The sequence below is a fragment of the Homo sapiens genome, chromosome 5 (assembly GCF_000001405.40).
Source record: "Homo sapiens chromosome 5, GRCh38.p14 Primary Assembly".
In the NCBI taxonomy this organism is placed as follows: Eukaryota; Metazoa; Chordata; class Mammalia; order Primates; family Hominidae; genus Homo; species Homo sapiens.
Window position 1 is genome coordinate 153,461,150 of NC_000005.10, and position 23,905 is coordinate 153,485,054.

Genomic DNA, 23,905 nt, shown 5'->3' on the forward strand with positions numbered 1-23,905 from the left:
ATAAACTACATTGCAAAAGTAATGATAAATGTCTTCATTTTGACTTAGTTATACTAAGGTCTTAAGGAGACAAAGGGTATATTGGGTAAAGTTGCTGTCAGAAAAAATTCTGACTCCAGATACTTCCAGCTTGTTGAAACAGAATGTATCTGAAATCTCCCAAGGAGACAGATTTTTTTAATGCCTGTTTCAGGACAATCCCTCAGATCAGAACAGCACAAATAGTTCAGATGGATGAGAAATAACCACTTATTGTGTGCTCACCTCAGGTGAACCAAATCTGGGTACAATTTGCAAAGAAGCCACAATGATGTGGGACCAGGAACCCAGCAGTGAGACCTGGAGTGAAGGCAAAGTGAACAGCTTCTTCCAGCCTGGGCTCAACAAACCAGATTTGCCACATTTACTCACTGGGTGAGCAGGTCCTTGTGCTTTTTCCATGCAAAGCTCATCCCTGAGACCCTGGAGGTAGAGGATTGGTGTATGACATGAATGAATCAGACATCGTTTCTGCTCTCACAGCTTTAACAGTCAAGCAGAGGCAACTGAACAATCTTCGATACAAACACAAAGTACAGAAGGATCTATCCTAAGAGATGGGTGCACATAGATCCTTTAGATTTCTCATGCCTCAAATTTAATTTCCTCTTCCACAGCTACCTAGAATGAGCTTACTTTATCAGCAGTGGCACTACTGTACCTTTGGTGGTTTAGGTAATTGGAATTATCCTTGGAGCTTTCCTTTCCCTAACCTCCATATGATGAGGTTGTGATTTATTAACCATAATCACATGTTCAACTGAAACTTGTTTTCAAAACATGTTTTGAAGCTGCCCTCTTCTATCAAGCCTCCTTTTAAGCATCCTTTCCAAGCCACCACCTTCTCTTATCTGCCAATAGCTGAAGTTTCCTTACAGTTCTATCTGTATTTACATTATATCTTTAAAATCCATTCTGAACTCTATTGATAGAACAATCTTCAAAATAGAAATTTGAGCATTTTATTTTCTAAGATATGAGTTTTAGATTGCTTTCCATTTTCTCTGGGAGTGAGATGCACAATCCTTGGCTGGCCTGGTGTCAAAGCGTTCAGTGACTAGCCTTTGCCCACACTTATCCCTATAGCTTCACCTTCAGCCACTCACTGCCTTCAACTTTCTCCTTAGCTCTACAGACCAACCTCAGAGTCCTGAGCAGGACATATTGTTTTTCACATAAGGACACTTAAACAAAAATCGGTCTCCTCCAGCTGAAATCATTTCCTCCGTTTCTGCTGCTCATTTCCTGGGTGAATCCAGATTAGGTTCCCTTTGGTACGTTGCTCCTTCATAACACTCACTCTGGTGGGAAATTAATTTAACATCTTTTTCCACTAAACTGTCAGTCCCATGAGGACAGGGGTTGTCTGCTTCATTTACTGCTGCATTTAACTTTTGGCACAGTACCTGACAGTCAATACATATTTGTTGCATGGAGGAGCCCAGGAACTAAAATGAAGAGTCAGAAAAAATGAGAATAAGACCTAATTGTGGAGGGCTCCAAATGCCAAGCAAAGGAGAGAAAACTTGAAATGCAAAACCTATCTCCAAAACCTTCCCATGGCCCCTTTGCAGCTGCTCTCTTTTTCATTGCTCCTGATATAAGACTTCTCCTCTGCCATCTTGTTTCTCACTCCCTGCCATGTCAAGGGCACACACAATGATTTGTTTTCCTCTGTATCCTCAACAACTGGCACAGGGCTAGCTAAAGAGTGCTGCAAATATCAGCCAATCTAGCCTAGGTTATGCTACACTGAAAAATCACACCCAAATCTCAACAGAGATCTATTTCTTGCTCATGTAAAGTTCATTGCAAGTGTAGCTGGGTCTCCAAAGTAGCTGGCCTCCATGCCATGGTCAAATACATGTGACAATAACTTCCATGTCAACATGTGCTTCCAAGCTCAAAATGACAGGAGAAGAGCAAGCTTGGCAGAACAAACTTGAGCAAATAAGTGTGCCCGTCTACTGACCCCATCACTCTTACATTTCATTAGCCAAAGCAATTCACACGGCCATGCTTAATTTCAGGAAGACAAAAATATATGTGCAATTCTCCATTTTTCTGGAAATGGAGGGGAAATGGCTATTAGTAAATAGTAGGAATGTATGCCCCAGACCTGAACATACAAACCATTCCTCTTTTTTTTTTTTTTTTTTTTGACAGACTCTCGCTCTGTTGCCCAGGCTGGAGTGCAGTGGTGCAATCCCAGCTCATTGCATCTTCCACTTCCCGGGTTCAAGCGATTCTCCTGCCTCAGCCTCCTGAGTAGTGGGACTACAGGCACCCACCACCACACTCGGCTAATTTTTGTATTTTTAGTAGAGACTGGGTTTCGCCATGTTGGTTAGGTTGGTCTTGAACTCCTGACCTCAGGTGATCCACCTGCCTCAGCCCCGCAAGTGCTGGAGTTACAGGCAAAAGCCACTGCTCCAGGACGTTTTTTTAAAAGTGAAAGCAAGTTTATTAAGAAAGTAAAGGAATAAAGAATGACTACTCCATAAGCAGAGCAGCCCAGAGGACTACTCGTTGCCCATTTTTACAGTTATTTATTGATTATATGCTTAACAAGGGGTGGATTATTCATGAGTTTTCCAGGAAAGAGGTGGGCAATTTCCGGAACTGAGGATTCCTTCCCTTTTCAGACCATATAGCATAAGTTTCTGGCATTGCTATGCCATTTGTAAACTGTCATCATGCTGGTGGAAACATAGCAGTGAGGATGACCAAAGGTCACTCTCCTCACAGTCTTGGTTTTGGTGAGTTTTAGCTGGCTTGTTTATTGCAAGCTGTTTTGTCAGCAAAGTCTTTATGACCTGTATCTTGCGCCAACCTCCTGTCTCATCCTGTGACTAAGAATGCCTTAATCTCCTGAGAATGCAGTTCTCAGGCTTATTTTACCCAGCCCCTATTCAAGATGCAGTTGCTCTGGTTCAAATGCCTCTGACATTTCCTGCCCCCCTCCCTTTTATAAGAGAACCCTTAATCCTAAGGGTTGTAAAGGGACAAAGATCCATCTTTTGTAACTTCTTCATGATGAATAGGGGTGAATGCCTTGGTAAAACAATTTTACCAAGGCTTTGACTGGAATATCTGACTGAGCTCCTCTCTACCCTGAATATAAGACGCATGTCAGAAAGCATCAGTATGGTGAGAGCCAATCATAACTCTGAGTTCAAACAAAAGGTGATATCTGGAAGATTAATAAGTGTTCAATTTAAGAAAACATTTAGTAATTTTATTTTGCATTTCTACTTGAAGAGTACAGCTGCAATATATTTCACAAGAGCAAAGCAAAATAAGCAAAATTATTCCAAGTAAACCGAATTAGAAGGCTTTCCATGAACTGGGCAGTTGTTGGAACCAAGCTTCTATGAGGTTGCTAGCTAATTCCAGTACATGCCCAGAATTAGAATATTGATCCAAATTTTTACATTACTTATTCCTCTTGTTTCTTCTGAGCAGCAGCTAGAGATCACTAGTTGGTTTACAGGAATGAGCAGGGTTAGTCTAAATTGCCGAAAAAAGAAACCTCAAAAACAACTGATGAGACTAGAATTTAAGAACAGGTATACCATAGTTTTTGAAACCTAATTTTTCTCTTTCCACTCTCCCATTTTTACTAAAGGCAAATCATGGTAAGATTGATTTGGTTGCCAAATAAGTTTTAGCTTTATACTTGGCCTAATTATTTGTATAAAGTGCAGCAAGAATAATTATTTTTCACATAGGCTTTTTAAATTGGCTTCATTGGAACTCTGGTCCATAGAAGGAATGTCAGATGAGACTTTTTGAAAGCCAATCCCAGCTATGAGCTTATGCCCTCAAATACCTATGAGTTGAATAAATTTCTCTCCTCTCGAGGTCCCAAGGTAACTTGGGGCTTCTGGGCCAGTCAGAAAGTAACATTCTTTACTTACCACAGATCAGAACCCCTGTACACGGACTCTGTAGACAAAGTATGAGGCCTATTTTCCCAAAGGGCTTTTATTGACTCTAAGTTTGATTCCTTAAAGGAAAGCACGCCATTCCAGTTAAAGTCTTGGTAAAATAACCAGTTTCTCTGTGTCCTGTTGCAAGAGAAAACACATTCTTATTGCACTTATGCAAATAACCATTGCTGTAAATTAAGAATACTCACAGATACTTTCAAAATTCTGGAGAAAACAGGTAGAGAGAAACAAATATGCTCCAAATTTTGTTCACAGGAGTATACTTTACTCAATTGCTAAAAACTGTAAATAGCTCAAAAGAAAAGTTTCCTTGACTCTGAAAAACAAAACAAAGGATCAGCAACATTTTAAGTGAAAAGCCAAATCTCCAGAGTTATCAATCAGAAACATGCATTTAAGAGCACCTGTTAGAGTTTCATAGCTGATTATAAAAATATCATTTAAAGAGGATCAAAACAAGATAACAATTGTCTATGGATGGCAAAGTAAACCATTCCATTTTTTAAAAGATAGTACTAAGTGGTCCTTGCTCTGGAGGGAATACAGATTGTCTGGTAAGGTATGCCATTCTAATTCTAGTGTCCCAGGATCTCCAGTGCTGAACAGTGCCCAGTCACCATAGGGAACTGTCATCCCAGCACTATGGCACCCCAATTTCTTAACCTCTTTTCTTCTCATAGGCCTGTCCTTCCTCATCTACTCATTCTTGTAGTCATAACCTAGGCTTCATCAGGTCCTATTATTTCCTTTTTCTGGGTTTTTGTGTTTTTTGACAAAGTCTCACTCTGTTGCCCAGGCTGCAGTGCAGTGACGCAATCTCGGCTCACTGCAACCTCCCGGGTTCAAGAAATTCTCCTGCCTCAGCCCCACAAGTAGCTGGGATTACAGGGGCCCACCAGCACGCCAGGCTAATTTTTGTATTTTTTAGTAGAGATGAAGTTTCGCCATGTTGGCAAACTGGTCTTGAACTTCTTGACCTCAAATGATCCACCCACCTCGGCCTCCCAAAGTGCTGGAATTATAGATGTGAGCCACCGTGGTTGGCCAGGTCCTATTATTTCAAATCTTCCAAAATATCAACTTCAAGCCAACCTATCACCTCCTATATTTCCCATTCATTCCCTGGACTCCCTATCTCCAGCAAACTTTTGACCCCACCTGTATTATCTTTTTCTTTTTTGTTGTTGTTGTTGAAACAGAGTCTCACTCTGTCACCCAGGCTGGAGTGCAGTGGAGCAACCTCAGCTCACTGCCGCCTCCATCTCCTGAGTTCAAGCAATTCTCCTGCCTTAGCCTCCTGAGTAGCTGGGATTACAGGCACATGCCACTACGCCTGGCTAATTTTTGTATTTTTAGTAGAGACAAGGTCTCATCATGTTGGCCAGGCTGGTCTCAAATTCCCGACCTCAAATGGTCTGCCCACCTCAGCCTCCCAAAGTGCTGGGATTACAGGTGCGAGCCACCATGCCTGTCCCCCATCGTATTTTCAATCCGTTGATCCATCTTGTTACTCTTACTGGTTTATTATAAAGGATATTGCAAAAGATACAGATGAAAATACATATAGGGCAAGGTATGGAGCAGGGGCATGGAGCTTCCATGCACTCCCTGGGTATGCCACCCTCCAGAAGCCTCCACATGTTCATCTGTCTATCCAGAAGCTCTCTGAACCCAATTCTCTTGGGTCCTATCACCATTATACTGTCCTTAGTCCTTTGTGCTATGGCCTCACTTTATCCAGCTTAAATCACATGATCAACCATCATAATAATTCTCCTTGACAGTCTTTCATTTCCTTCCCTGTGTCCTGAACACTAAAATGCATCATATTTACTTACCTACACTACAATCCTAAATCAATTTAACTCCTCATCCACTCAGGGGCAGAACATGTACAACACAAAGAGCCAGAAAATAACCTCCAACCAAATTTCTGATTTCTCTTTAAATTTGTGATCAATAAGTGTGTTCTTAATACAATCATACTGTATTTCCCAAGTTTGTTCTCTTTCCCACTCTCCCAGATAATTATTTCACACTTTCCCTTTCTTCTCAAACCTCAACACCTTCTCCCTCATCTTCACTCACAGCCTCTGACCTTGCTTCCCACTTGACAGGAATGAAGAATTGGAAAAGAACATCATGAGCCTCTCACCTACCTAATGGCTTTATTCCAGCAAAACTTTCTGTACTCTTCCCTCCCCCTTCAATTGGATCACTTCCAGCAGCATACAGACAAGCTGTTATTACTCCTATCTTCCCCATCATCAGTGACTTATTTACTCTGTTTCTCCTTATAGCAGCACCCCCTGAAAGAGGTATCTAAACTCTCTGTCTTCACTTTCTTTCTATTCTGTCTTCAGCTCACACCAATCAGGTTTATTTTTTCTTCTCAACCATCTTGCAAAACTCTTCTCATTAAGATTAACAATGACTTTTATGTTGTTAAATCCATGGACATTTCTCAGACCTAAGCTTACCTTTTTCCTACCAGGAGCATTTGATAAGGGGATTGAAACACTTTCTTCCTTTGCTTTCCAGGATGCCACACTTACCTGGTTTCCACCCACACTTCTGAGTGCTTTCTTTGTCTCTTTTGCTGGATGATCTGCATCTCCCTGACATCTGAGTGTTGAAGTGCTCTGGGGCTCAGTCCTCAACCTGCTTGTCTTTTACATCTGTGCTCTCTCCTTAGTTATCTCAGCCAGTCTCATTACTTTAAATACCATCCATATGCAGCCAAATGCACAGCCCTAGACTGAATTTTTTCCCTAATCTCTAGACTCATAGTTAACTTCCTACCTGACCTCTCCACCTGAATGTTTAATAGGCATTTTAAATTAAATATATGTCTAAAAATGAGCTCATAAAATTTCCCCACCCCCCAAAGCATGCTTTATTAATGGCAGTTTCATCCTTCTGGTTGCCTTGTTGTGCTCCTTGATGCCTCTCTCATTTCCTACATCCAGCCTTTCCACAAATCCCATTTGCTCTTCCTTCAAAATATAACCAGAATTCAACTTTTCATCAACCCCACTGCTACCACTCTATTCCAAACCATCATCAGCTTTTTCTTTGATTATTGCAGTGGTTGCCTACCTGGCCCCTGAACTCCTGCCCTTACCCCCTTTAGCCTCTTTTCTATATACTAGGTTGACCAGTGGCCCTTAGTCCCCCTCCCCATTACTTTTTATTGTAACAAAAATTAAAACCCAAGTCCTTATTCTGGCTTACAGGGCCATGCATGGGCTGGACCCTATATTCACTCAGACCTCATATCTTGATCCTTTCCCCTTCATTCTCTCCAGGTCACCCACACAAACTTCCTTCTGTTCCCCAACACCCCATACTTGCCTGCACTTCTGAGCCCTTTTTCTCATTTTCCTTCTGTCTGGAATACTCTCTCTAGATGTCTGCATGGCTGGCTCCCTCTTTTCCTTTGGGATTTTACTCAAAATATATCTTCACAATGAGGTATTCTTGGCTACTCTATCTAAAATTTCAATCTGTCTAAAATGTCACTCTATTCCTAACACTTTATATCCCCTTATCTTATGTCTTCACTTTGTGTAATTACTTCACTTGTGTAATTTTGGTCCATAAAATATATCACTGTCTAACATAATCTAGACTATACCTATGCATCTTGTTTATTGCCTCTTCTACTAAAATATAAACTCTATGAAGGCAAGAATATTTGTCTGTTTTATTCATTATTGTTTGCTGAGCTGGTAAAATAGTGTTTGACATAAATTAGCTATTCAATATATGTTTTTCACATGAATAAATTGTTTTTAGGAATATTACTTTGGGTACACCACTAGGCAACCATACACTATAAGGAATCGCCTGGTCTACCAGAAAGAACACTGATGTAGGAGTCTAAGAAACCAGAAACTTAGTCCCTGTTCTCTTATTAACTTGCTATGTGTTCTTGGGGAAATCATTTCTGTCTGCAGATGTCTGTTTTCCTATCTGTAATGTGAGAGGATTAAATTGGATTATTTCTTGTGTTCTATTCAGCTCAATAGGTAAGATAATGAGAAAGTTCAAGGAATAGGTGGGTCATTTTTGCATGAATTTTAGGATAATGTATGCTCTAGGAATTTTCAGTATTTGCAGTATGTGGCTTATAGTAGGCACATTAGAAATTCATTTGTATGTTAATCCCTGATTTGTTTCATCAGCTAGCTCTATGCATAGACCAACCTGGAAATTCCAGACTACCTCACTCAAGTTTTGGATCTTGGTTCACTTTGTTATGTAGCTAAATCTTTGGCTCTTCTCAACAACTTGTATCTTATCTTAGCATATAAGTTGGCTAAAAGAAAAGTCAGGATTCAAACTAGAGTTTTTAAACTCTAACCGTACCACCACACGAGGCTGCTTGTTCTGCATGGATGAAGGTGCTTGTTTTCAACACGAACCATGATTCATTTGCTGCAGGCCAACTCAATAGAAAAACAATTGAGTACTATCTATTCACCATAGCATGCTGTCATTTGTGGGTCTTGAATTGATCACCTCAAAGGAGCTTGCCTGTCATTTCCCTCAAGAAATAAAGGCTCAGTGAAAACACTGTGGAATGTTGGTCTCATAAGCATTTCACAAGTATTCACTGATGGCCAATAATGGAAACTACTGCTTAAGAACCTAGGCTTCAAAATCTCCTTTCTCACTGCCTAGCCACCTACATGACTTTCAACATGGGACTTAGCCATTCTGAACGTTCTTTTCCCATGCCAGACTTGGGAGGCATTATTGAGATCTGTTTCTCTCTCTCTCTCTCTCTCTCTCTCTCTCTCTCTCTTTCTCTCCCCTAAATCTGTCAATCTTCAAGTCCTGATGGTTGTGTTTGCATCCTGAATATATTTAGACTTCACCCACTCTTTGTTTTCTCTCTCTTTCTCGGATTATTGTCCATTACAAATATGATATTGTTACTTTCTTCCTTGGCTTTCTCTGGTCCTTAGACTGAAGTTCCACAGCCTAAAAAGGACTCTAAATGTGTCTGAGCTGGCCCCTACCCTCACCAGTCTTACCTCAGGGATCTTGAGCTCCCTGGTCTTTCAATTCTCTCTGCCTAGAACGTTCTTCCCCCAAGCCACTTTACCCATTTACTGATATTCATGCTTCAGGTCTCCATCAATATTATTTTCTCAGGGAAACCTTGGAGAAAGTCGTCTTCTTATTGTTCACTCTCATAGCACTTTGTATTTCACTTTTACAACAATTATCACAAATATAATTAAATATACATTTTTCTGTGATTACTTCATCACTCTTATTAGATGGCAAGCTCTATAAAAACAGAAGTTCATAAATGTCTTATTTACCTCTGTACACTCAATGTGCTCAATGCCAGGCATACAGGAGGTCTTGAATTTATTCCTGAGGTTGATATCACATCTCATACCATTGTAAGGATTCAACAAGTTAATCCTCACAATGCAGTTAGCACAGTGCCTGGCACATAGTAAGCACTCAGAGAATTGTAGCTATTTCTTGAGTCAGTATATACTACTGACAAATTTTACAGTTCAGCCTAAATACTAGGAACACAGAGGAAATGGAAAAGTTGTTCAGAATAAAAACAGTGGGAAAAATTTGCTGTTTTCTCTACTCTCCTTTGCTAACTTTAGGGCTTGGTGCTGAAGTCATAACTGTGCTGCCTGCATCTATCTCCAGTCCACACGGCCTCACCACAGCAGGAGCCCCCAGTGCTGTTTCTTAATCCTTCTTTTCCAGCCCTAATTGACAGACTATTGCTGTCCTGACAGTGGATTCTCTGAATCTGCTCTCCTTAAGCTCCCAGATATAACCACTCCCTGCACTTCAGCTGATGACTGTGCTGTCTGCTTCTCTGAGCCCATGCAAGACTAAATCCTTCTACTTTTTCTCTCCTATCTCACGTTCCCAGGGTCCACCCCTCTCGTGTGTCTCTGAAGAGGATGTTTTATTCACGTTCCTTTTTTTTTTTTTTGCTTCATATTATTTTTTATTATACTTTAAGTTCTGGGATGCATGTGCAGAATGTTCAGGTTTGTTACATAGGTATACATCTGCCATGGTAGTTTGCTGCACCCATCAACCCATCATCTACATTAGATATTTCTCCTAATGCTATCCCTCCTTCTGCCCTCCACCCCCCAACAGGCCCCGGCGTGTGACGTTCCCCTCCCTGTGCCCATATGTTCTCGTTGTTCAACTCCCACTTATGAGTGAGAACATGCGGTGTTTGGTTTTCCGTTCCCGTGTTAGTTTGCTGAGAATGACAGTTTCCAGCTTCTTCCATGGAAACCCATTGCCTATCTCCCGATCAGCCCCATGGTCAAAAAGTCCCCTTTCTGTGTGCGTGTGTGTGTATGTATGTGTGTGTGTGTGTGTGTGTGTGTGTGTGTGTGTGTGTGTGATTCTTACTGAGTCCTTTTTACTCTTCCTTTCCTTCCTTTTTTTATTCTTTCATTTTTTCAACTTTTATAATAGAGTATTTTAAACAAAAATAAATGTAAGGAGAATAATTCAATGAACCTCCATATAGCCTTCACCTAATTACAACAATCACAAATTCGTGGCTACATTTGTCTTATCTATAGATACCCAACACGCACCTCCACCAGATTATTTTGAAGCAAATCTCAAACATTATTACTTCATCCATATATACTATAATGTCTCTATAAAGGACTATTAAAAATAACCACAACATCATCACACATAAAATATTAATAGCAAACAGAAACAGGTTGACTTCCTCTCTTCTTATTTGAATACGCTTTATTTCTTTCTCTTGCCTGATTGCCCTGGCCAGAATTTCCAATACTATGTTGAATAGAGGTGATGAGAGAGGGCACCCTTGTCTTGTGCCAGTTTTCAAGGGGAATGCTTTCAGCTGTCGCCCATGTAGTATGACGTTGGCTGTGAGTTTGTTATAAATGGCTCTTATTATGATGCGGTAGGTCCCATTCATACCTAGTTTATTAAGAGTTTTTAACATGAAGGGATGTTGAATTTTGTAGAAGGCCTTTTCTCTGTCTATTGGAATAATCATTTGTTTTTTTTTCTATTGTTCTGTTCATGTGATGAATTATGTTTATTGATTTGTGTATGTTGAACCAGGCTTGTAGCCCGGGGATGAAGCCAACTCGATGATCATGGTGGATAAGTTTTTTGATGTGCTGCTGGATTCGGTGTGCCGGTATTTTATTGAGAATTTTTGAATCGATGTTCATCAGGGATATTGGCCTGAAGTTTTCTTTTTTCATTGTATCTCTGCCAGGTTTTGGTATCAGGATGATGCCAGCCTCATAAAATGAGTTAGGGAGGGGTTCCTCCTTTTCAATTCTTTGGAATAGTTTCAGGAGAATGGTACGCTACCCTTCTCTTTGTATCTCTGGTAGAATTCAGCTGTAAATCCATATGGTCCTGGACTTTTTTTGGTTGGTAGACTATTTATTACTGCCTCAATTTCAGAACTTGTTATTGGTCTATTCAGGGATTCAATTTCTTCCTCGATAAGTCTTGGGAGAATGCATGTGTCCAGGAATTCATCCATTTCTTCTTGATTTTCCTTTTATTTGCATAGAGGCGTTTATAGTATTCTCTGATTTTTGTTTTTATTTCTGTGGGGTCAGTGATGATGTCCCCTATATAATTTTTACTGTGTCTATTTGATTCTTCTCTCTTTTCTTCTTTATTAGTCTAGCTAACAGTCTATGTATTTTTTTTTTTTTTCAAAAAATCAACTTCTAGATTTGTTGACTCTTTTGAAGGGTTTTCCATGTCTCTATATGCTTCAGCTCCATTTTGATCTTGCTTATGTCTTGTCTTCTGCTAGCTTTGGGGTTTGTTTGCTCTTGGTTCTCTAGTTCTTTTAGTTGCGATGTTAGGATGTTGATTTCAGATCTTTCTAGCTTTTCAATGTGGGCATTTAGTGCTATAAATTTCCCTTTTAACACTGCTTTAGCTGCCTCCCAGATATTCTGGCACATTGTCTCTTTGTTTTCATTGGTTTTGAAGAACTTCTTGATGTCTGCCTTAATTTCATTATTTACCCAGGAGTCATTCAGGAGCAGGTTGTTTAATTTCCATGTAGTTGTATGGTTTTGAGTGAATTTCTTAATCTTGAGTTCTAATTTGATTGCACTGTGGTCTGAAAGACTGTTTTTTTATGATTTCAGTTATTTTGCATTTGCTGAGGGGTGCTTTACTTCCAATTATGTGATCTATTTTAGAGTAAGTGCTATGTGGCACCAAGAAGAATGTATATTCTGTTATTTTTGGGTGGAGAGTTCTGTAGATATCTATCCATTCCACTTGATCCAGAACTGAGTTCAAGTTATGAATATCTTTGTTAATTTTCTGTCTTCATGATCTGTCTAATATTGACAGTGGTATGTTAAAGTCTCTCACTATTATTGCATGGGAGTCTCTTTGTAGGTCTCTGAGAACTTGTTTTATAAATATGGGTGCTTCTGTATTGGGTGCATATATATTTAGGACAGTTAGCTCTTCTTGTTGAATTTAGCCCTTTACATTATGTAATGCCTTTCTTTGTCTTTTTTTTATATTTGTTGGTTTTGTCAGAAACTAGGGTTGCAACCCTTGCTTTTTTCTGCTTTCCATTTGCTTGATACTTTTTCCTCCATCCCTTTATTTTGAGCCTATTTGTGTCTTTACATGTGAGATGAGTCTCTTGAGTACAACACACAGAGGGTTCTTCACTCTATCCAGTTTGTTATTCTGTGTCTTTTAATTGGGGCATTTAGCCCATTTGCTTTTAAGGTTAATACTGTTATGTATGAATTTGATCCTGTCATCATGATGCTAGCTGATTATTTTACAGACTTGTTGATGTAGTCGCTTCAGAATGTCACTGGTCTGTGTACTTCAGTGTGTTTCTGTAGTGGCTGGTAATGGTTTTTCCTTTCCATATTTAGTGCTTTCTTCAGGAGTTCTTGCAAAGCAGGCCTGATGGTGATGAATTCCCTCAGCATTTTCTTGTCTGAAAAGGATTTTATTTCTCCTTCACTTAAGAAGCTTAGTTTGGCCAGATATGAAATTCCGGGTTGGAAATTATTCTTTCTTTCTTTCTTTCTTTCTTTCTTTCTTTTTTTCTTTCTTTCTTTCTTTCTTTCTTTCTCTTCTTTCTTTCTTCCTTTTATTTCTTTCTTCTTTTTTTCTTTGAGACAGAGTCTCGTTCTGCCACCCAGGCTGGAGTGCAGTGGTGCGATCTTGGCTCACTGCAACCTCCGCCTCCTGGGTTCAAGCGATTCTCCTGCCTCAGCCTCCTGAGTAACTGGGACTATGGGTGCGTGCCATCACGCCCAGCTAATTTTTTGTATTTTTAGTAGAGATAAGGTTTCATCATGTTAGCCAGGATGGTCTCGATCTCCTGACCTCATGATCCACTTGCCTCAGCCTCCCAAAGTGCTGGGATTACACGCGTGAGCCACTGCGCCTGGCCAGGAAATTATTTTCTTTAAGAATGTTGAATATTGGCCCCCAATCTCTTCTGGCTTGTAGGATTTCTACTGAAATGTCCACTGTTAGTCTCATGGGCTTCACTTTATATGTAACCTGGCCTTTCTCTCTGGCTGCCGTTAACACTTTTTCCTTCATTTCAACCTTAGAGAATCTGACAATTATGTGTTTTGGGTTGATGTTGTCATGTAGTATCTTAGTGGTGTTCTCTGTATTTCCTGAATTTGAATGTTGGCCTGTCTTGCTAGGTTGGGAAAGTTCTCCTGGATGATATCCTGAAGTACATTTTCCAACTTGGTTCCATTCTCCTCGTCTCTTTCAGGTACCCCAGTCAGTCGTAGGTTTGGTCTTTTTACACAATCCCATAGTTCTCGGAGGTTTTGTTCATTCCTTTTTTTTCTTTATTCTCTAATCTTGTCTGCCTGTCTTATTTCAGCAAGATAATCTTCAGGCTCTGAAATTCTTCCCTTTGCTTGGTCTATTCAGCTGTTGATACTTGTGGTTGCATTGTGAAGTTCTCGTGTTGTGTTTTTCAGCTCCATCAGGCCATTTATGTAATAGTTTTCTTTTATGTCAATTATCCTGTCAGGACTTAAATATTCTACATTATTCTAATTTTTTAAATTATTTATTCCAATCACTATCCTAACAAGGTATGCATATTGCATTTGGTTGATATGTCCATTGACAAATTTCCTGTGCAATTTATTGGTTGAAGAAACTGGTAATTTGTTCTGCAGAGATTTCCATATTCTGGATTTTGCTGACTATATCTCCATGTCTCTTCTCTTGGATCTCTCATTTGTCTTCCTCCATTTGATAGTTCTTTCAACAGATATATGTGCTCAGTATTTCTCTACTCCACTCTCAACAAAAGCAATACAAAGTATATCCATGATAAAACAGATAAACTATGATCTCATCCATATAAATGTAAATATGTGAATGTCTAGTTTGTATAAAGAAATGCAGAAAAAAATGGTCACAGAAGTGTTGATAATGGTTGTTTCAGTAGAAGTTTTTAAGTGACGACTTTTCTCATACTTTCATGAGCTAACATTTGCTAAAATGAATATGTATTTATATAACTAAAACGTGGCTAGGTTTTGAAATGGGGAAATAGACAAAAAATTGAACTATCTTACTTTCTCTGTGTTCTACACTTCCATTTTATAAGTTCACTTTGGAATGAATGATTGAGATTCCTTTTAATTTTTTTCATTAATTCAACAAATATTTTTAAGCATTTGCTAAATGGCAGACACAGTGGTTTAAAGACACGGGCTTCTCTATGCACCTGTATTAAACTGTAAAACTGAGCACATTAAGCAAGTTCTTTACTACATAGCTCTAGTTGCTACTGGTGGATTTTAAGATAAAGTCCAAATGCTACACTGGAACACAAAAGGAACCTCCTGGCCTGGCCCCTGCACAGCTCACCAGGACTCATCCTTTGCCACTCAAACCTTTCCAAACTACTCTGGCTCCTTGAAATCTCACCATGATTTATCTTGGCTCTAAGGCTGTCCTCATGCTGATCCTTCTGCATAGAAAATTGTCTCCTTTTCCATTAACCTTCATCCTCCATTCACATGTGACTCCTATTCATCCTTCATTCTTTAGCTTCATCAATTCAGCTCAGAAGTCACCTTTTCCAAGAATCCTTTCCTGATATGACCCCATCATACCCTGTGCATGCTTTTATCATAGAAACAATAAATTGCCACATTACAGGCTATTGATTCATAGATATAAGCACTAGACTGTGAGCTCCTGGAGGGCAGAGAACCCTGTTTAGCTTATTTCCTCAGATCCTCGCACTGGACAATAACCAAGTATGTACTCAATAAATAGCTTTGAGTGAATAAATGAGAGGCCCCTCACTCTAGTGAATTTACTTTCTTAAGGCTTCCCCACTGCACTATTTATAGTCAAATCCAGTGGCTCTCCTCCATAGCCTCTAACACCATTGTCCACACGTTCCTTCTCAGAAATCCTCTTTGCCTTGGTTTCTGTGACAACATATTCTTTTTTGTATTCTTCCGGCTCCTGAAATCTCTCCTTGTTTTTTTAAATATATATATTTTTCCTTACCCCCTCAAATATTGATGATTTCCAAGGCTTGATCTTCAGACTTTGTCTCTTCACTCTGCATTCTCCCTTGAAGACACTGCCCACCCCCACAGCTCCAATGCCTCACTCCTAACCCAAGTAGATGTTACCTAAGCCTTTGAGACTAGCTCTGACTTTAATTCTGAATTTCCAAGCTAGCTTGCTCACAGCCAAATGGCCACAAAGATGTACTGCAGGAAACTGAGCTTAGCATATCTCAAGCATTACTCATTTTTCTTGGCAATCCCTCCCCCCAACAGCATGTGCATACGTGTTCACACCCACACACACTCACAATGTTTTCTACCTTCTACAGTTCTTACCCTGATTATCAGTTTTATGTTCCTACTGTATTAGGCCAAAAACACTAGCATATAATTTTTACCCTTCTTTTCTAACTCTCCACATTCAGCAAATTGAAAATGTTTGCCAATCCTACCCTGCTCAAGTTTAATCTCACAACTCTTTTCTTTATATTAAAAAGTAAAAATAATATGAAAATTTCAAACACATAAGAAAATTCTGAAAATATTACGACAAACATTTCTGCTGTATTGGATTCAAAGGCATTTTGTTCTCCAAGAAATAAAATGTTACAATCACTGTTAAAACAACCCTATGCCTTCCTATTCCCTTACTCCTCCCTACAGTAACTGCCAATCTGAAGTTAATTTATGTTTTTCCTATGTCATGCAATTAAACAAATGTAAAAGCAAGAAATGTATTAAGCTTGAAAAATAAAGATCTATAGGTGAAAAAATATTGTATTCATAATATGCTTCTTGATTCAGAAATCGGCCATATTTATATAATTACAAGTAATATATTTGTAGGAATAGGAGGTGATTTGTGATAGAGAAATTGTATAAGAGCTAAATTCTTATTCAACACTTCCTTTTAACTTCCTCTTTTGATGCCCTAATTCTGGAATTCACTTGGTTAATTGTAATTGCGGTGACTTCCTGACTGGCTCCTGCCTATGTCTCCTAGGTTATCGCTCTAAAGCATAGCATGGAACATGTCACTTCTCCTGTTCAAAAACCTTTGATTATTCTATTTGGGTTTGTCCTCTGTAATCTGGCATCAGTCTGTCTTTCCAGACTCTCTCCCTCTTCACTGGGGTTTCTCAAGCTCAGCAGTATTGACATTTTGGGCCAGAAGATTCTTTGTTGTGGGGCTGTCCTGTGCATTGCAGGATGTTGAGCATCATCCTTGCCCTCTACCCCTAGGTGCCAGTAGCAAACCCTTTCCATCCAAAGTTGTGACAATCAAAAATATCTCCAGACATTGCCAAATGTCTCCTAGGGAGCAAAAACTCTCTCTCTTTTGGTGTGTGTGTGTCTCTCTCCTGTACACACACACACACACACACACACACACTCACTATCCCTAGCAAAGAATTACTCTAAGTCATAACCCTTACCTACATTGTTTAATCCCACAAACCATACATATCTTAGATTCAGATTATAAGGAAATGCTTGTGTTCTTTTGAATCCCAACATGTGATTAGTACCAGCGCTGAAACAATCTCAGGAGGCTGAGTTTTGCCTTGGCTAAAAGCTACATTTGAGGGGAAGCTAGAATTAAAGTTCAGAAAAACAAAGCCTTTGACTGCAAGTGGAGGGGATATACACACTGATAAAAAGAGAACAGCTTAAATATTTCCCAGAAACTCTCATGGAAGTGGGTGGTAAAACTCAGTGAGAAGCAAGAATGGAGAATGCGAGGCTGTGATAAAGAAGAGGCTATGAGAGTTTGCAGCATTGATAATAATAGCTAACATTTGAGTATTTACTATGTGTCAGACACTTACAGTGCTTAATCTCAAAACAAATTTCTAAAGTCTGTATTATTACAATTGCCATTTTACAGATGAAAAAACTACAGTACTAAGAAATAAAGAGATTTTTCCAAAAGTCCCAAAGTTAGTAATGAGCAGAGCTGGGATTCAAACAGAGACTTTGGCTCTGGAGCCTGACATCTTACCTACAACATCACACTTTCTTTTATAAAGAAGTGCTTTCCTGAGCCCAGTTTTCTTAGCCTAAAGTAAATGAGGTCTTGGCCTGTGTGGGCCTCCCTGCTACAGGTTACAGGTCATTCAGAACCATTTCTCCACCTCTTCCAAAGCTGCATGGGTTAAGTGTGACACCAATCCACTGAGGTCCTGAGCTCTGGAAGGTTTTGGTTAGCAGCTGTAAAGGATGCCATCAACTAGCTTTGAATGTCTAGTCCCTCCACTGCCCTCATGCCCTGAGTGAAAATTCACTTTAAGTTTCCAAAACTTCCTCTTTGAACCTTCACATTGTCTTCCTACGCTGACCTTGCATCCTCCTGTCCCATCATTGGGATGTATCTCCTAGGAGCTGATGCACAGAAGCATCTCCACATGCTCCCTAAAGTCCTTGTTTTATTTTTGTCATAGAAAATACAAGATAGAAACTGCTTTTCTGGTTCCAAGTATCCAATTCAGCACTGACCCAAATAAGGTGCCAATAAATTGTAGCTAACCATGAACATGTATTGAAGGTCAATTGTTGACAAGGCATTGTGCCAAGCACTATACATGTAGCTTTTCTTTTAATGCGCACAATAGCTCCTGAGGTATTATTATCCCCATTTTATAGGTGGGAAAAGGAGGTTCAGGGAGCTAAAATACTCTGCTTGAGGTCACATGGCAAATAAGCCTTGGAGCTAGTCTGCAAACTCAAGCACTCTGACTCCAGAGTCCACACTCTAAATATTAGTTGGGTAAAAAGTTAATAATTTTGAGGGTTACATTTGGCAAGCTTGGCTTTGTCAATAGGCTAACATCTGGACCATCTGTATAGTGGTCAAGGAGTCCTTGAGAAATGGTGCCTCACTCCAGATGCCCTAGCAGAAGTCACAAGGCATCCTCCGCACTCTTCCCTGCAGCCTCTCTTAGTTTCTTATGTCAAAGGTCTTGCTCCAGTTGGACCCACTCTTTCCAGTTCTGGCTTCCTGTCTAGGGACTGCCTCCAGTTCCACACTCTAGAGCATGTATGATTGGCAGTTCCTGCTGCCAATTCAAACTCTTGCTCAGTTCTCAGCCCCACCCCTCTCCCCAGATTCCCTTGTCTTTTCTCGGAATGGTCCTCAGAGGGTCCTTCCAGGGTTCCAACACTACAGTTTTCAGTAAGGAACCGAATTTGCACCTAAAGGAAGCACGTGCCTGCTATGCAGGGTGGTTTTCATACAAAAGAGCCTAGAGACACATGGAGAAGATGGCCAGTCCGAAGAGAATGCAGAATTTGGACTTTGGAGAAGAGGCCAACAAATGCTAGAATTGTGTCCACTAAGGGTGGAAGTCAGGAAGAGTCAAGGCTAGCCTGTTTCTCTGGACCATTGCCCATCCCACCCCCACTTCCCCTCATCCTGCAGGCTGGAAGTGCATGAGGACAGGGAGCTGCCATCTTGGTCTCCTCACACCTGACAGACATTCTGGAGGCCTGTGTTCAGGCTGTGGCTTTGGATTCTGACCACTGTTTCCACCTCCCCCACCCCTTGAAGGACATCCAAGGGTTATATGTGTGAACTGGAGCCAGAGTGGCCTACTGCCTGTGCCTGAGCTCTCCTGGTGGCATTTTGAAGAGGAAATAGTTCAGGCCTCTGATATTCTGGCTCTACCCAGTAAGCCCAGGTGTGGAGACCCCCCCTTGAAAAGCCTACTTGCCTTAGTCCCTCTGTTGCCATTGTCTTTGAAGTCAGGTTGGAAGAAACTTTTCTCTCTTGCACTGTGGCTCCTCAGTGAACAGGATCCTACAGTGGAGGAGAAATAGTGTCTTGACTTCCTGGTCAGTCCCTTGAGGCCCTCATTTCCCAGGACACTCCTCCCAGGCCAAGTCATTCTGTCTCCTCTGGTGAGATCACAACCCCTAGGGACAGGCCAGCTGCTGGTGGGACTTCCCCTGGGAGAAGTAGCTTCAGTGCTTTGAAAGGCTGAAGCCATTTCTCCCAGAGAAGGTGAGTCAGAGGAGGAGGCCCTTGAGATAGCAAAGCAGGAGGGGTTGGTCAGCTTTAGAGGGGAACAGGAGGCTCTTTCTATTGGAAGTTAGAAGCTGAGAACCATGGCAAAAGGAACACTTTAGAGTGAAAGAGTCTATGGAGAAAGACACCTGGTGTTCTCAGTCCTTCCCCAACTCAACTCTTCCCCCAAAACTTTACAGCAGTGGATCACTGTGCCCTGCTCGACCATCACAGACACAGACAGCCACAGCTCTGCAAGTGCATGGGAGAGATAGCCCAGTTGTGGTAAAGGTGCAGGACCCACTGAGCTACATCGTGGAAAATGTTGAGGCAATGACCTGGGTATCTGACATCCAGGAAGACCTATGTCCCAGGCCATAGATCTTAACTGCCTTTGCTTCTCAAGATGTCTGTCCTGCCAAAAGCTGCATAGGAACCCAGTGTTCCTCATGCATTTCTATATCAGAGGGAGTATAGAATACTCTAGGGCTGCCATTCAGACTCTGCCTCTGTTTTAGTTTCTCCCTTCTGCCCTTTGTTAGGGCTTCCTGATACCCTAGGAATTTACCTGTTCCAGGACTGCCATGTGATGGTGACAGGCAGTGATAGAACCCATTCATTTTGGGGAATGCTCATGGGATCTTTTCCTGACTGAGCCACCTAACTGGTGCTGCTGGCAGAGGGTGCAGGCAGTCATGGTGTGTCTTGGTCTGGCTCTGGAGAGTTGGGGCTGGAGAGGTATGTCCTCACATTTAACTCCAGAGCAAAGCGAGGCACCTGTACCAGATGCCAGTTTGCCCTGCTGAAGTACTTCCTTGCCTATTCCATCCCCCTGGAGTCAAAGGCTGGTGCCACATTGCTCTCACCAGCTGTTGTACCTTCTGGTGAGGAAGATTCTAGAGACCCCACCTTCCCCCAGTGAAAGAAGTCTTATGCCTTAAATAGTTTACCAATGATTTGAAGTCTCATTCTTGTTTTGAGTTCAGGGAGTATATTTTCTTATATTCAGCTAGAAAATGCCATAAATAAATAGTGGTTAGGTTTTTAGCAAAATGTGCTGTAAATAAATAGTGGCTAGTTTTCTAGGTAAGTCTATCCCAGCCAGGTTGACATTACTATAGTTGAAATGGTATACTTTCGCTAAAAATAATAAAAGACAATATTGTAGAATCAGATTTTGTTTACTTCAAAAATCATATGATTTTCAATATGAGATACTATCAATGAAGTTCTTGAGATTATTGGCCCTGCTTGGGAGCCTCATCTCAAGAGTTAGAGGTGGAAAGCATTGCCTACTGGCTGATTGCAAGGGTCAGGGGAAAGGTGAAGTGGGAAGACTACTGACCCCTCAAAAAGTGAGGGGCATGATGGGATGCAGAAACTGGCAGTGTCACGTGGGAGGAAATGACCTGTCTCAAGATCTAGTTCTGCCATTTGCTGGTTCTGTGGCCTTAGGTTAGTGCTTTAGCCTCCTGAGTTAGTCTCATCACTGGTTAAATAAAGAAGAGTTAAATAATACTATTTCTACAGGTTTGATGAGGGAATAACATGACATATAATGCTTTTAGAAGATTTCTGTGGCATATAGAGCTGAGTGGTGATTGACTTTGAAGGCTAAAAGACCAAGATGTGCCTCACCTGTAAAATAGGAGTAGTCTAATATGTATAAAGTACTTAGCCTGGTGCCCAGCACATGATGGCAAATGGTAGCTGCTGTAAGTGACATTATTATATTACCATCCTTGACTTCCCCAAGGAGGCTGATTCCCTTTTGCCATGCCTACACACTGTTCCATTCTACAAGAGCCAAGATGCTATTTCTGCTTGACTTAGAGAATGGAAATGGGATGGTGGAGCATGGTGGCCAGCTCAGAGCAGGCAGCTATTGAATCAGGTCCTAAAGATGTGAAGCCACCACAGCAGTCATTGGGATAGAAGAAGGGTGGGAATGGGGAATGAGGAGTTCAGGAAATACTTTATTCAAAGGGTCCACAAAAGAGGTGAAAAGAGTAGGGAAAGAAGGAATGCAAGGTGAGGCATAGAGGAGGGGAGAGGTAAGCTTTATTTAAAAGTCTATGTTAAGGACACTACAAACTCTTGCCTGTGTTTATTCCTACATAAGAGTTATTCTACCAGTCGAACTGTCAAGTAGTGGTCTGTAGCCTAATCATTTGGCCTTCCCTGTCTGTTATGCTGAAATATTATCTCAGAAGTCTTTCATGGAAAACTTACTGCATGAGCTATGGAATGGTGGGCAGATCACATTCTCCAGGGACTCCATCTGCCTCTTCTAAAAGATCTGTCGAACTTAGGCCCCTTCTCTTGTTAAAAGATCTAACTTAGGCCTCTTCTCTTGTGTTTCTGAAAGCTGTAGTTTTTGTAGCTATTACTTTGACCCCTTTAAATGAGCCTCGCGTCAGGTCTCACTGTGACAGAACATGAACAATACCACTCACACAGCCGAGCTTGGGCTTCAAGTCTCTGATCTGCTGCTACCTGGCTGGGTGACCCAGGGCAAATGACTTAACCTGAGATCCTACTTCATTTTTAAATTGAAGGTGCTGGACTCCAGGATCTCAAAATGTCTTTCCCACTTTGACATTCTACCTGCTTCTCTTTCACGTGAGAAATGTCCCATTCCTAGCCTTTCTATTTTTCTTCTGCATGATTTTGTCTCCCTTAGAGTAATAAAGGAGAGGCCAGAGGTTAGGCAAGCAGCAAAATTTAATACTAGAAATATGACAGTAAATTAGAATCATTTATGTTCCAAGTCTCCTGAAAACTGATTAAAATCTTCCTTTGGCCACGAGGGTGGGTGGGGACTACAAGAAGCACCATAATTACTGTTTGGCCTCAATCAAAGAAGGCTATCGGATGTGGGGAGAGGAACATTGGTTCTTCTTCTCTTTCAAGGCACATTCATTTTTTGAAACACATTCATTTTTTGAGTCTTATGCATGCTTTCTGAATGGCTTCTCAGAGCTCCTTCCTGAGAATAGTGTGACTGAACCACTACAGGGTGGGGTTTTACATACGAGGACTCTCGGTGCTAGGTCATGTGTCCCCAGGCAAGGCCCTTTACCTTTCTGGAAGTATTGTACACATTGCCAAGGGCCTGTGCAGTGCAAATTTACCAAAGTGATTTTACCAAATTTACCATGTCCCTTGGGACAATATAGAAAAGTGGTTAGGAGAACCAGCCTTGGAAGCCAGGCAGATCTAGGTTGAAATTCCAGCCCTGCCTCTAAATAGCTGTATAAGCTTGAGCAAGTAACATAACCTCCCCAACCCTTTATTCTCCACTTGTAAATGGAATAATAAGTGTTCATACTTCAGAGAGTTGTTGTGAACATCACACAAAATGAGGCAGTTATGTAGCCTGGCACTGTGCCTGACACATGTAAGTGCTCAAAAAAAAATTAGCTCACATTATAGTCATGATTCCTGACCCCTAAGAGGCTGAAAATCAAGTGGAAAGAGTCAAGTTAAATGTCAATTAAAATCAGTAAGTAATACAGATACTCAGAGAGGCCAAAATCAGTATGGGAGAGCATTGTAGGGAAGATGGGAATTGCATTGGTTCTTAAAAAATTAAAACGTGATCAAGAGAAATAAAGGTACTTCAGGGAATAATAAGGACCATCCATTTATCCTTTTAATATGTATTTATTGAGAAGTCACTGTGTGTTAGATGCTGTCCTAAGTGCTGGAGTGGATAAGATGCATTCTAGTAATGGATCAAATGATAAACTATGTACCATAGGTAGCGACAAATGCTGCAAAGCGAAAAGCAGGGTAAGGGACATAAAAATCATGGCAGCAGGTGGGCTGGATGTAGTAAAAGACTTCCAACCAGATCCTGAAGTGAGAGCAAAAGCAATGCGGATTTCTACAGAAGATGCTTTCCAGGCAGAAAGATGAGCAAGTGCAGTGGTCCTGGGACAAGATGGTGATTAGTGTGTCCAATGAACAGCAGGCAGGCTAGTGTGACTGCAGCAGAGGATGCCAATGAGGAAGGGTATAGGATACCAGTGAAAGAGGCAGCCAGCTGCCAGATTGCAGACTTTAAGTATGGATGAAGTTCTGGGATATTTTGGAGCCGGAGAGTGACAATGTCTGACTTCTTTTTAAAAATTTCACTCTGGTGGCCATACAGAGAGCAAATTACGTTGCTGGGGAGGGTGTACAAAAGGAGTAGAAATAAGGAATTGATAAAGATTGAGAGATATGGGTAGAATGAATGACCTGGAGTGGAGCGATGGTGGAAAGTGGTTGGGCTCTATATTGTTAAAGTACAGCCCATAGAATTTGCTAATGGGTTGGAGGTG